General features: G+C 38.2%; 1 protein-coding gene and 1 pseudogene across 4 annotated transcripts in view; both read right to left on the bottom strand.

Moving 5' to 3' along the window:
* Positions 1-11,478, bottom strand: part of CFAP299 (cilia and flagella associated protein 299) — a 642,486-nt gene extending 631,008 nt beyond the window's left edge. The window contains exon 1 of one of the 4 annotated variants that reach the window (XM_017007976.2): positions 11,280-11,478. In XM_017007976.2, the coding sequence (XP_016863465.1) occupies positions 11,280-11,308 (29 nt within the window). In that variant the 5' untranslated portion in view covers positions 11,309-11,478. The remainder of the gene's footprint in view (positions 1-11,279) is intronic. The other 3 variants (XM_047449975.1, XM_017007977.2, XM_011531816.3) reach the window with 3 other exon arrangements.
* On the bottom strand, positions 10,684-11,203 carry MRPS25P1 (mitochondrial ribosomal protein S25 pseudogene 1; annotated as a pseudogene).
* Positions 11,479-14,574: the final 3,096 nt, after the last annotated feature.

Genomic DNA, 14,574 nt, shown 5'->3' with positions numbered 1-14,574 from the left:
TTGCCCTACAATCTATGTTATCTTTTTCTTCAGTTCACTCTTACCTTCTACTATGGCTTTTTCCACTTTCTCCTCTCTCCTTAATCTTATATCATCCTTTCTCAAAGCAGATAAACTTAACTCTTATACCCAAAAGAAGTAAGTTATCACAATAGATTTCCCACAGTCAAATGCTGTATACAAGCTTATTCACATTCATATCAACGTTTTACTTCTTCCATTGTGTAAAGGAAGAGATTTACCTCCTTCCATACCTTCACTACACAGGTTCAATCTCCTTCTGTCTTCCCAGGGTTTCTCATTTTAATTATTCCCTCTCTTCTTTGTTGTTAATTTATCTCTTCTCTCCCTCCCCACCCCAGCTCCTTTCCCATTTTAAAAATAAGCAAATGATCCCAAAAATCACCCTCACCTCCACAGACAATGTTAGCTATAGGCTTTCCTGCCCTTTACAGCAAAACTTTTGGAAAGAGCTGTCTACAATCACTGTCTCCATTTCCTTACCTTCCACTTTCTGCCCAACATATTCCAGTCTGTTTTTACGCACTGCTCCACGATTTTCACCAAAGTCAATTATGACATCTTTGCCATTAGGCCCAATAGACATTTTTTCTGTCCTCAGACTGCTTGACATTTAGCAGCATTTGACCCTGTGACCACTCTCTTCTCTTCGAGATTCTCTTTTAGCTTCTGTCACATTACTTTGCACTGAGGTTGGTTAGTTGGTTGTTTGGTTGGTTCGTTGGTTTTCCATTAGCTGTTTCTTCTCAGTTCTCTTTGCTAGCCCCTTTTCTCCTTACCTAGCTTTTAAAAGATTGGAGAGTCTCAGGGTTCTCTCCTAGACCCTTTGCTGACTCTACACTTTTGTTACTTGGAGCTCTCACCCACACTTATTGCTTTACTTACTGCCTTACATGCATATGGTTCCTCTATCTATATAATTAACTAGGTCACTCTTCCAATCACATATCTAACTGCCTAGCAGATGCCACTGGATGTATAACATGTATAAATGAAAATTTTCCTCTTTTTGTGCCTCCTAATTTGTTCCTCCTCCAGTGTTCCCTCTTTCAACACACAGGTTCCTCTCCTCTCAGTTGTTCATGTGAGAAACATGGAAGACAGTCTTGAACCTTACTTCTCCGTCACCCCTGAAATGTAAGGCCTGTTATTTCCACCTCTCAATTACTTCTCTTGAAGGCTTAAATTTCTCTCCAACCTAATTGACATGGGTTCCTTGCCTAAGCCAAAGTCTGGTACCTAAACTCCAAGAATATAATCTTTTCTGGTTTCCCTATACTCTTCTGGCCTCTTTCCATTCCACTCTTCAAAATGTAGTTAGTGTTTGCTTAAAAACACGGATCTCACCAGGCCTCTTTTAAAAACCTTCTTTGGCTCCCCATTACCCTTAGGATAAAGTACAGTTTTGTTTTGTCTTTTTGACATGGCTTACAAGACATTCCACATCCTGACCTTCATCTGATACCCTCTACTGCACACGTTACATGTTCCAGCCACACCAGACTTTTTTCAGTTTTGAAAGGAGCCTCCACTTCTTTTGCTGCTGGGTCTCAAACATGCTGTTCCCTCTGCCTAGGACATTCTTTCACAGTACACACTTTTTCCATTTACCTATTAGCTCCCTATTATAGATCTCGGTATAGAGATCAAGATATAGTAGTCTCCTGTGTTCCCAGAGCACTTTCTAATGCACTTATCATTTGTTGCAATATCTTGATTATTATAAAGTATTTGACAAATGTCTATACTGCTTATTAGAATCTATGAACATAAAGGCAAAGACTATGTCAACCCTCTTCACCACTATATCCTCAGCATCTAACGTAGTACCTGGAACATAATGATCCCTCAAAAGTATTTGCTGAATAAAATGCTTTTTCTATATATTTCAGTGATTCATTTTGGAAACAAGGTGAAAGGCATTACAATCCGTATGAGGACTATCAAGAAAAACAACCTAAATTTTAGCACCTACATTTTAGAAAGGCACTTAGCAATACCAATGTAATAACAGCACAAGTCAGAATTCTTTTTGATAAAGAGATATTTTGAAGCACTATGCAAATTCAGATGAGTGAAAAATTACTTCCAACTGGAAGTTGTCATGAAAATGTGATGACATGGCCTTTGTGCTGAATATGAAGTACTGAGATGGGGAGCTGGGACTCTGAATAAATGTCCATGTGACTGAGTCTCATGTGCTAAAGTTTCAAGGTGAGAAAACGAGAGGTATGTTCAGGGAAGGGTGATAAGAGAAATTTATTTAAAGTGCAGGACATATGCAAGAGGGCAGAAAAATGGAAGGGCAAGTTAAAAGTAGACCACGCTGTGGTCTGTCTATTTAAGAAGCTTTAATCATACTCTCCAAGCAAAAGAAAGCCAAAAGAAGTGTTTGCAAAGACGTGATCATCAGAACTATAGTTTTAAAGATTATTCTGACAGCAGTAAATGACTGGAGGGGAGGTAGGAAGACATCTTAGGTCAGGAGACAGAAGAAAAGGGGAGGTTGAAATTAGGAGTAGCTGCAGGGGAGATGTACTTAAGAAAGCTTTGGGGAAAGAATTTTATAGCCAGAGACTGATTTCAAGTTTATTGCACACTTTTTACCCTGAAGCAAAAGTCAGAAGATTTTCATTTTAGATCAAACTTTTACCTGCTCAAAATAAGAAATACAATGGCATGGTTGGTTTTTAATGAAACCTTCCTGGTACATAATAAACTCAAATAATGAGGCACTGACTTGAGGGTAAAAAAGAAATTCAGATAAAACCTTAGAAGAAAATAAAAGGAGACATCGTTAAAACCCCAGAGATGAGGTGGAAATAGGCTGCCTCTCTGAGAAATATATTTAGCTCTTCTAAATTACATGATAATCTCTATAGAATTCCTAAGAGCTTGATCTATTTTAAACTAACATCTTCTTTCTAGCTTCTGAGTACAATATCAAAGCTCGTCAGGTACTCAAGATTTCTGCAGCCATGGTAATAATACAACTCCAGTCACAACTAAGCAGATATAGAAAGGGAAAAAAAATCACTAGACTTTCTAAGAGAAGCATTAAAGGAAGTGGTGCCAATTCCATTAAGAGCTAATTCAACTCATGCTCAGCTCTACTTCTCTAGGATATCAAATATTCTTTGGCTACAGATTCATTAATCACAATAAAAATGTTTTGATCCATCTTTCCTACTCAATCTCACTTATTGAAACAAAAGTAAAACTTATTTACCTCAGTAATCAGTAATGTAAATTACCTCAGTAAGGTAAAGTCACCAAAGAGTCAGGAACTGTGCTAGGCTTTGAGAGTGCAACCAAAAAATAACACCTGATTCTTTAAATCTTCAAGGATATTATCATTTAGGGAAGACAGAAGGAGGACCTGAACTGGTAGTTGGCTGAATGAAGGAAAGGAAGAAGATGAACTAAGTAAATTGGAGATATAAATGTGTAAATAAGTGAGAAAAATAAAAATTTACAGGAGCAATGATAACATATATATATATATATATATATGTATACAGTGTACTGCTGGGGTATCCAATCTTTTGGCTTCCCTGGGCCACATTGGAAGAAGAATTATCTTGGGCCACACATAAAATACACTAACACTAACAATGGCTGATGAGCTAAAGAAAAATCGCAAAAAAAGAAATCTTATATTGTTTTAAGAAAGCCTATGAATGTATATTGGACTGCATTTAAAGCCGTCCTGGGCTGCACATGGCACACGGGCTGCGGGTTTGACAAGCTTGGTGTACAGAGTGGAAAATATATGAGAAAAAAGTTGATTCTATACCATAGAATGCAAGAATGATGTGTTTTAAGAAATCAATAGGAAATAATTTTTTATTCTGGAAAACAATGAGTTAGGACTGGATGGGCTCTGAGGGCACATCTAGCTTCAAAATTCTGTGATAATATTCTAACTTAAACTTTCAATAACTGTTCAGATTTAGCCTACAGGAAATCACTCAGAAGAGAGGAAAACAGTGGAATTTTGTCATATCGTGCAGTTTTCTGGAACAAAGCACAGGATTTTACTAAACTAATTCATGACCACGAGTCTCAACATACTTGGCAATACCAACATACTGTCTTAGTGGTTTGTTTTCTTTTTTTTAAGTCTATTTTACACCTTTTTTCCTATTCAAAATTGTCATCTTCCTTCTCTCTTACTCCTCATTCCCTTCAGCATCACTCCACCCCCACCCCTACCTACCCACACAATACAACCCTATCTACACTTGTTCTTAGGTATTAATCTTGTCCTTTGTTATGATGAATATAATATTCCTATCATATGCAACCTATGTCCTCCAATTCTCTGGATATCATCCTCTCTCACCTTCTCAAGGATTTCATCCTGCTGTTAGTCACATTCTCCCTAGCTTTGTCCATTTCTCCCACTCTGGGTCACCCCAACGGCATACAAGCACATTCTAGAATCTCATGTCTTTAAAACAAGTGAGCTCCTTTGACCCCATGTTTTGTTTCAATTATTGTCATTTTTACTTTCACCTTATTAAAAAAACTTATTGAAAGAGTAATCTATATTTATCATCACCCCTTCCTCATTTCCCTGTTCTCTTCTAAGCTTTCTCCAACCAAAATTTTCGGCCACCACTTGACTAAGATTGTTTTTTTTCTAGGTCGCCAATTACTTTCTTGTTTTCAAATCATAGGGATGTGGCTCTACTTGTAATGTACTTGACCTTTCAGTGGCATGAAGCACAGCTTGCTGGTCATTCATAAAATACCTTCTTCTCTTAGCTTCCATAATACCACACTCATACTGCACTCATACTACCTGTTCTTATTAGTGTAACTTTTTAATTCCACCACCTTGGCTAAACTTCTACATGTTTGAATGTTCCAGAGCTTAATCCTGGGCCCACACCTCTTCTAATTTATAACCTCTCCCCCTTTGCCTCACACTGCACATCTAATCCACCAGCTAGTTTAGCTTTCTCAACATATATATATATATATGTATTGAAGTTATATATATATATATATATATATATATATATAACTTCTCTCTATATATATATGTATATATAAAATCCATTCACTGCTTTCCATTTTTACTAATTTCATCTCAATGCACCCAGCCACTATTTTTTTGCCTGGACAACTATAATAGCCTCCTAAATGGCTTCTTTACTTTCCCTTTTGCTGCCTTCCTTAATCCAGACTCCACACAGTAGCCAGAGAATTTCATTTAAAAATGCATATCAGATCGTGTCACTCTCCCGTTTAAATCCTCATTGACTTCCACTGCAGTTAGAATAAAATCCAAAATCATTCCCTTGGCTTATGAAGCCCTACATTTCTTCTCACCCTGGCTATTTTTCTGGTCTTATCTCTTACTTCACGCTACCTCAATCCCACTCTACCTGATGGCCATGCTGTTTTCTTTCTCTTCCCAGAATCTATTATGCTTGGTCATGTTTTCTTGGCCTAGAATGCCATCTCTCCTTCCCTGCCCCAGTGTTTGAATAGCTGGCTCCTTTTTGTCCTTCTGATATCAGGATGTCAAAGATACCTTAGGGCATATACTAAACTCCCAGGCCAAAGTAACCAAGTCAATCCTCATTACATCTTTATATGATCCACTGCGTCATACTAGTCACATACTGGTCAAGTTCATTTGTTGGAATGCAGACTCTATGTAGTAAAGATAACGTCTGCCTAGTGATCACTACTATATGCTAGGAATCAATAACAGCACCTGGAACCTACCAGGTTCCACTTAGTAAAGATTTAATGATGAAAAAAATGCAAGTTTTATAATACAAATATATAAAATTACGAAAACAATTTTATAACAATCATTTGATAGTCTTTAAAAGACTACCCAAAGTTTAAAATATAATTTTGTAATTATAGATACACTTATAAACAACGAAGTTTTATAAAATTAATCATTTGATATTTTTAAAAAGGCTACCCAAAGGAATTTAAAATCAGAGAATGTTGTTGAAACTGAACACCAACTGTATCTACATTTATTTCTAATAGACTTCTCAGAGTCCACTGATACCCATAACAAAGCACTTAGTGCCTCAAGGAAACTATAGAAAGTAGTCAGAAGAAACCACAGGCCAGCTATAGTCTGAGAGTGTTTTCTATTGCGATTGGCCATTCTGGCATAAAAATCTTGATGAGTGGCTCATTATCATCATTTCTGCTCCCAACCACTCTCCCAGCATCACACCACTGTAGCGACTATGCCCCATCTCCTCAGAATGCAACACATTGTCATAAAGAACATAAAGTCTCAAGTAATCTGTGAATTCATAGCTGAAATATACTGAATATGTATATACTTCCCAGCTCTTACCTATTACACTAGCTTTTATTCCCACCTGTCTTCTTCATTTTCTTTTTCCAAACTTTTCAAGGATTTGACATGAACAGACCACAGGTTGCTGTATTATAGGATACAGACATACACACACACACGCAATGCACACACACACCACAATCCCATAGAGATGCAAAAATAAATGCAAGGATACAGTTCAAAGCCACCATTCAGACATGCAAGAACACAACACATACACCTTACAGATGGAAGATATGGACAACTAGATTATGGAATTAATTACCTTCCAGGATCTAATATCGACAGTTGCAGAAAGAACTGCTTTACATGCAGCTAATTGAAATAAACAGGAAATGGAAATACTAGTCATCAAATAGGAAGATAATTTTTGAATAAGACTATCTTATATATCTGGCTTGGATAAATTTCAGCCTGTGGATAGGAGCTTCTGGACAGTTATTACACCAATCTGTATCTGCACTCAGTTCAGCTAGTAGGGCTGCAGCTGACTTTATCTTCCTGTAAAGACTCAATTTCAGGTATAGGGCCCTAGAACACAGTATGAGAAGATACTCTTTCCTTCATCTATAGATACCTAGAAAATAGGACTATTTTCTACATTTTGGCTGTTAAGAATGGCTTTATTTTAAAAGTCTTCCTCCAGAATATATGCCTGGATGGCCAGCCAGTCACATAATAAGTGAAATTAAATTTTCCAAAAACATGTTATGATTTCTAAGAAACAATGTGGCAGTGGAATTAAAATGGCTAATTTGGAACCAAGGATGTTACTTATTGAGATAGAAAAGGTCCTTCATATATTAACTTAGAAGGACATTAACTGTTGTCATTGTAGAAAATAAACTTATGTACCACCAGCAGTTTAATTTTCAAATGCAAAAACGGATAAGATGGGTATTATTTTTAGGAAAGTTCAGACACAACTAAGGGTAATTCTAGCCAAATAATCTGAACAGTAAATATACTGATATCTCAGAATGTATTAATAAAAATGAAAAGTTGTTATAAATAGATACTATTATCACTTGCCAAAATGATGTGTTTGACACACAAATACATTGATTTCAATAACCAAGAGTAGATAATTCCAGCTACCTACTGTGTTTCAACAAAAGGACTTTAAAAGTAAACTTATTTAATAGACACAACACAAATATGTACTGTGTGACCATATTAAAGGGTGCCCAGTTGTTGCCTTTTTTGCCAGGATTTCATTAATGTTTTTATTTTTCTGATTATTTGTTTGTTTTGAGACGGAGTCTCGCTCTGTCACCTAGGCTACAGTGCAGTGCCATGATCTTGGCTCACTGCAACCTCCGCCTCCCAGGTTCAAGTGATTCTCCTGCCTCAGCCTACTGAGTAGCTGAGACTACAGGCACGTGCCACCATGCCCAACTAATTTTTGTATTTTTAGTAGAGACAGGGTTTTGCCATGTTGGCCAGGCTGGTCTCAAACTCCTGACCTCAGGTGTTCCAACCCCCTCGGCCTCCCAAATTGCTGGGATTACAGGCATGAGCCACCACTCCCAGCCTCTGATTCTTTTTTTACCTCGCCCTCCTAAAACCTCCCCTGTTCCACATCCACTCAGAACATCTACTATCATGTAAATATTCCAATATATAACTGCCAGCACTTTTGTTAAAAAAGATTGTTGATTATTCTCAGAATTTCAAATTTCTTTGTAAATGGTTTTCTCTCAGAGTTACTCAGTGTTAGTATCCCTGATTTCCATGACAGAACATCGAGACAGAGGAGACGGTGGCAGCAACACCACTGCCATGGCTGCCAGTGAGTCTGTGACAATATAAGGACCAAAGCTTTAAAATGTGACTCTAGACGCATGCCTATCAATAACTAAATGCATTAATAGTGATAGATTAGGTCTCCACTTTTGATATCATGTGTAATGCACCATGCTTAATTTTCCCCTTTTCTTTTACTATGTAGTTTTACGAGCCAATTAGTGGACTTTGAGGATTTTTGTAAAAGACTGACAATAAAAATTGATTGCAGAGTGCTTTTAGAGGCTTTGATAATAACTGCCCTGAAGAGCAAAACAGTTATACTCCCACGTTCTTTCATAATGTTTCCCAGTGGAATACATAGTCCAGGAAAAGTATACATGTAGCATAAAACCGATTCCTGAGTTTTTAATGTAGTTTAAGAATATCGTTTCTTCACGTGGACACAGGGAGGGGAACATCACATACCGGGGCCTATCGAGGGGTTGGGGGCAAGGGGAGTGAGAGCATTAGGACAAATGCCTAATGCATGTGGGGCTTAAAACCTAGATGACGGGTTGATAGGAGCAGCAAACCACCATGGCACATGTATACCTATGTAACAAACCTGCACGTTCTGCACATGTATCCCAGAACTTAAAGTAAAATTTAAAAAAAGGAGTATAGTTTCTTACACAAGTTAAAGAACCAGTAATCACCTTGAAGCATTATTACAATGGAAGCTATCAAAAACAATGTGACTATTGGCAATCATTCTAATTAACCTAAAACTTGTGTATCTAATTATTGATACACAGATGGAAATCTAACTGTTAATTTAAAACAGACTAAAAATATAAGTAATTAGAAATAAAAGTAAAACTCCCACTGATTTCTGGAAGATTGACCTGCATAATTATTCAAGAGTGAAGAATAATTTTATGTTTATAAAATATTTGCTTACTATATAGGTTTATATAATTTATTAACCATTATAATATACATGATTACATAACTAATTTGTTTCTCCATATGTTAATCAATTCTAATTAGTAGCTTTTTAGGGCTAATGTACTTTTTATGTAGGTCTTTGGATACTAACAGAAATAAAACTTTACTAAATCCTTTGATTTGATGAAGAAAAAAGTAAGACAATCTTTTTGAAAAGCTAATATTCAACAAATACCAGTGTGTGTCTAGTTTTTAGAAAATCAAGGTTCAATTCTAATTCTTCCATTTATTTGTTTGTCTTACTTTCTGTACTGAAGAACAGTGATAATACATTACAGCTTTCTACAAGTCATAGTTAAACAGTAAAGTTAACTGTGAGAAATGAACTGCACAAAACAAAGACCAGGTTTTCTGCTTTTTTTTCTAAGTAATGTTGGTCTCTTCAATCCATGAGGTCTGCACCCAAGACATCAGAGAACTGCCAGCTTCCAATCACTGTTCAGGAGCCTGGTCCAGAACCAATTGACCTGATCTATATGCTTCATCCCAACCAGCTTCTGACATTTGTGTTACTGGTGAAATTTGTCATTCTTCCATTTACAGTCTAACATTGCTATTCTGCCCCATATTCTACCCTACTTTCTTAGCTATGTTGTTGACTGTTGCTTCTGGCTTGAGGATGTATTTTTCTTCTGTTTATATTGCTTTATCTTTCTCTGAGTAATACATTTAGCTCAACTTCCTGTGGGTGGCACTCCTGCCTGAGTCTCCCCAGACAGAGAACAAGATCCAGTCACTGCTTCTCTTCTGTCTGCCAAAGGTGCCCTGCAGGATCAACTTCACCCACAGGTGAAGGCTGTAATGTGGTGTGATTTGAAGGGCATCAGGCCTGCCAGCCAAAACTTCCCTGGCAGTCTACCTGAAATTCCAGCCAAAGATCATTAGTGTTGCTTCTTAAAATAACTTTGTTATTTTGAATCTGAATACTTTCAGCCCCTATTCCTACCTTTTCCTACTGAAATGATTATTTGTACATGATTACTGAAAACTCAAAGTTTCTTAAGATTTCAATAATAGTGATAGCAGAACAGACAGCGCTTGATAAGCAGGATTTTTGTGTTTCTTGTAATCTGTTTATATCCCCTTGACTCTGCTTTAGTATTTAAGAGAAAAAAAAAAGTATTTTAAGAAGTTGGCCTTCTCACTAAGGGCAAGGGATTGTACAAGCACAGGGGGATGGTAATAGAAGTGATGGCAACTGTAACCAAAATGAGAAAAATCCAAGAAGACACATACAGGAAAGTATCAAGACTGAGTCCCACCAGATGATTCTGCTGCCTAAAACCTGGGATGTTGTGAATTGTTGTGGTTGTTGTTGTTGCTGTTGTTGCTGTTTTGTTGCACTGATTGGGAAGCCTTTTATTTACCCAAGGAGCAAGGATATGCATTTAGCAGCTCGGCTGCAGATGTTCCTCTCCCCAAGCCCTTTTACACAGGTGTATAAATGGGAACCTTTTATTGCAAAAGGATTTCCAGAGTTTTCAAGGACAGAACCGAGGGCTTACTGGGGCCAGGGTAACCCCATACCAGTCTCCCTATTGGTCAGTCACAATTGCCCCAGCCCACAATGACCCTGGGTGCTAGTCCTGGGTACTGACTTTCACAGTGGCTCTGCACTTCCCCATCTCCTTGGGTATCAGGCCCAGGCAGGGCACCTGTCCTTCCACTTTGCAGGTACAATCCTTCAGGCAGTACTTTCCACGGCCAAAGGGGGCTGGGTGAGACAGCTGCTTTTTCTCCTTCTCCTCTTTCTTGGGGGTTTCCTCATTCTTCCCCAACATTTTTCGATGGACTCAATGACCTCCTTATTATTCTTGGTCTCCACATCCAACGGGACTTGCTTCCCAGAATCTAAGTATTGGTGGGTGTGGAGACAGGAAGGATGATGGCATCCTGTCCTTAAACATCATGATCTGCACTCATGGGATTTTGTATTGGATCTAAGATATGTTGAAAACGCAAATTTCCTGGTGCCCTCACCCAGCTCCCCATGTGTTTTGTAATTCACTGTCATGACCTTCGCCAAGTCTTTGAACACCACCTCCCCCTGGCTCAGGTACTGCAGGGTGTGGCGATGGGGGAGCGGCCCTTCATGGGCATGGGGGCAGTGGCGGTGGTGGGCGGGGGGACATGTGGCCACAGGCCCAGCAGAGGAGAGAAGCCAAAGAGCACCCACCACGGCCTGGAGCAGACCTCACACCGCATCTCCCCTGAATTTTTGTTTCATTGTGGAGGTTGTTTTCTTTATAAATGCCCTCTGAGCAAGGGTGGGTTTTAACAAAATTCAGTCCTTTGCTGTCTAGAAGAAAAAAAAATGAATTAATAAATGGATCATCAAAGATACATTTGATTAATTAAGCTAATTACAACAGCACAGCACTTCTTAGAACAAATGGAGACCTATCCATGTTGATTTGGGGTAGGGAGAAATGAGAAGAATAGAAGGATGGCCGGGTGTGGTGGCTCACGCTTGTAATGCAGCACTTTGGGAGGCTGAGGTTGGAGGATTGGTTGAGCCCAGGAGTTCAAGACCAGCCTGGGCAACATAGTGAGACCACCTCCACCATCTCCATTCTAAAGTAAATTTTTTAAATTAGCCAGGAGTCACTATTCACAATAGCAAAGACTTGGAACCAACCCAAATGTCCAACAATGGTAGACTGGATTAAGAAAATGAGGCACATATACACCATGGAACACTATGCAGCCATAAAAAGGATGATTTCATGTCCTTTACAGGGACATGGATGAAGCTGGAAACCATCATTCTGAGCAAACTATCGCAAGGACAGAAAACCAAACACCGCATGTTCTCACTCATAGGTGGGAATTGAACAATGAGAACACCTGGACACAGGGTGGGGAACATCACACATCGGGGCCTGAAGTGGGGTGGGGGGAGGGGGGAGGGATAGCATTAGGAGATATACCTAATGTAAATGACAAGTAAATGGGTGCAGCACACCAACATGGCACATGTATACATATGTAACAAACCTGCATGTTGTGCACATGTACCCTAGAACTTAAAGTATAATAAAAAAATAAAAATAGAAAATTAGCCAGTAGTAGTGGCATACGCTGTAGTCTCAGCTACTTGGGAGGCTGAGGTGGGAGGATCACTTGAGCCTGGACAGTTGAGGCTGTAGTGAATGGTGATTATGCCACTGCACTCTAGCCTGAGTGACAGAGTGAGACCTGTCTCAAAAAAAAAAAAAAGTGGTGGGGCAGGGGGGCAGGACTACTTCTCTCCATCTCCCACTGTGAGGAAGCATATTGACCCTGAGCAGGGCTGAAACATCCATAACTAGGGCCAAAGGACAGTTTCTAAAATGGCTTAGTTTTGTCTCCAAAACTAAGAACTTTAGCCAACTACTACTGGGCTACAACCACATTATTTTCTATGTGCATTTGGTCATTTTTTTCTTGAAAGAGAGAAGAAAAATAGAAGAGCTAATGGAATAAAATCTAATAGTCTTTCAAGAATAGGAAAGTATCTTATATTCCTTATAGTCAGATTGTAAAAAATTTCCAGCCATTTTAGAATTGTGACACTCTATCATAAGCTGCTCAGTTTCACAACTCAACTGGTGACCTTGCTATAAGGCTGTATATACAAACACAATTTTCATTTAAAATGACTTTCAATTTAGTTTAGCACATTTACCAGTATTTATTAGTGCCACTTAAGGATACAGGGGACATCTCAGTGAGTAAGGATTGTACTATGGAATTTGCAAATATGAGTAAAAATTCTGATGGTGGGGCGGGGAAGGTACTCTAACAGTCAAATGTGTTAACCTCTGCTCTCTGAATTGTCGCAGAATAATCAATCAGGTTTACAGCTTAAATTTCATGTTTTATTTTACAGATGAGAAAACTGAGATTCAATAAGGCTAGACATATAGACAGTACCCTGCACATGGTATGTGTTTTAAAATATCAGTTGAGTGAAGGGAATTTTATCTAAGGCCAGAGAGTGTGGCAGAGCCAGTGATGGAAGCCAGAAGGAGTCCTGATTTCTGGTAAGTTGTTTTTTCAGTACTCATTCTCACATTTCCTCTAGCCATATTCAGCAACACAGTAAGTAAGACATAATCTGAGTCATGTAGGTCCACAATACAATACATGAAGAGAGGAGGGAAAACAAAAATAAAGGCAATAAAGAACGTACTGTCAATCACAAAAATATGACTCTGTGCACTTCTGGTTAAGGGATCTGTAGTGCCAGTTCTTTTAAGAAGCATAACAGAATGTCCTTGCCTGATGCTCCATGGGCACAAGATCCTTGCAAACAGAAAGTCGTTTTTACCTTCTGCCAAATGGGGTCAGAAGAAGTGTTTTAGCCACTTTAGTCCAAATGCACACACACACACACACACACACACACACACACACACACAAAGATATTCAAGTATATCCAAGTGTACCTAAAACCCCTCTCCTCTAAATAATTATTAAGCAAAAATCTAGTCTACTGTAACTGTCCAGGTATCTCAGCAAATAGCCTGCACTGCTTTTATTTTACAGCATCAAGTATTTTATGTAAATACAGTAGTTAATTGAGACAAATGACTGGATTCAGTGAATCTTTTATTAACAGTCCCTTGTTTTTTTTAAAAAAAAAAAAAATAATGAAACTACAGATCTGCTGAAAGCATGGAGTCATTTCCTACCAAACCTATGTTCCAAACTTAATTTCATCTGCTTGATACTTTGACATTTTAGGTCTGGAAAAGCACAGGGTGAAAGATGGCAAAGAACAGGGAAATTTTAGTTTAGAAGTGCAACAGCTCACTTAGAGCAGAGCTTTAGGAAAGCAGAATCCAAAACCACTGTGACTAATACACTTTTCAAATTTATTAAGTAGAAAGATGCACAGGCAAAAGAGAGACAAGAAGCAAACAGAATCGGCTCTTACAGCAGCAATTCAGGATTCTGGTGCAGTGCCCTAAGATCATTTTCATAGCTGGGTAAGAATGATATGTTGTAAATGTATAACTCATAGGTAAAATAATACTTTCTGAAAATAGTATTTTCTGCTGAGATGTCAACAACAACAAAAATGGATATGGGGTTACACCAACTGTTTCTCAGGATAGGGTGCACCTGTTTTAAAAGGAAAAATGTCTAAAGAATTTGTTCTCCTATTTCATATCTCTTGACCTTTTCAACCATTAACTTCACAATGCTAATAAGTCACAAACCAAGTTTAAATGAATCTATTTTGGAAGTGCACTGGACATTTGCTCATCCATACCAAATAAAGTCCTTTTCAAAAAAAAAAAAAAAAACCAGCCTAAAAATTTAAGGTTATTTTGCACACATAAAACTGAAAAACCCATGTGGAGAGGGCTGAATACTTAATACCAAAATTGTATAACTGTTGCCTCAGAAGTAATACTGTTTTTGGCAAAAGCTTCATTGAAATATAACTCACAATACCACACAATTCGCAAATTTACAGTCTA

Source organism: Homo sapiens, chromosome 4 (assembly GCF_000001405.40).
Source record: "Homo sapiens chromosome 4, GRCh38.p14 Primary Assembly".
Classification (NCBI taxonomy): Eukaryota; Metazoa; Chordata; class Mammalia; order Primates; family Hominidae; genus Homo; species Homo sapiens.
The sequence above is the reverse complement of the archived record's forward strand: the minus strand, read 5'-3'. Positions and strand labels throughout refer to the sequence as shown.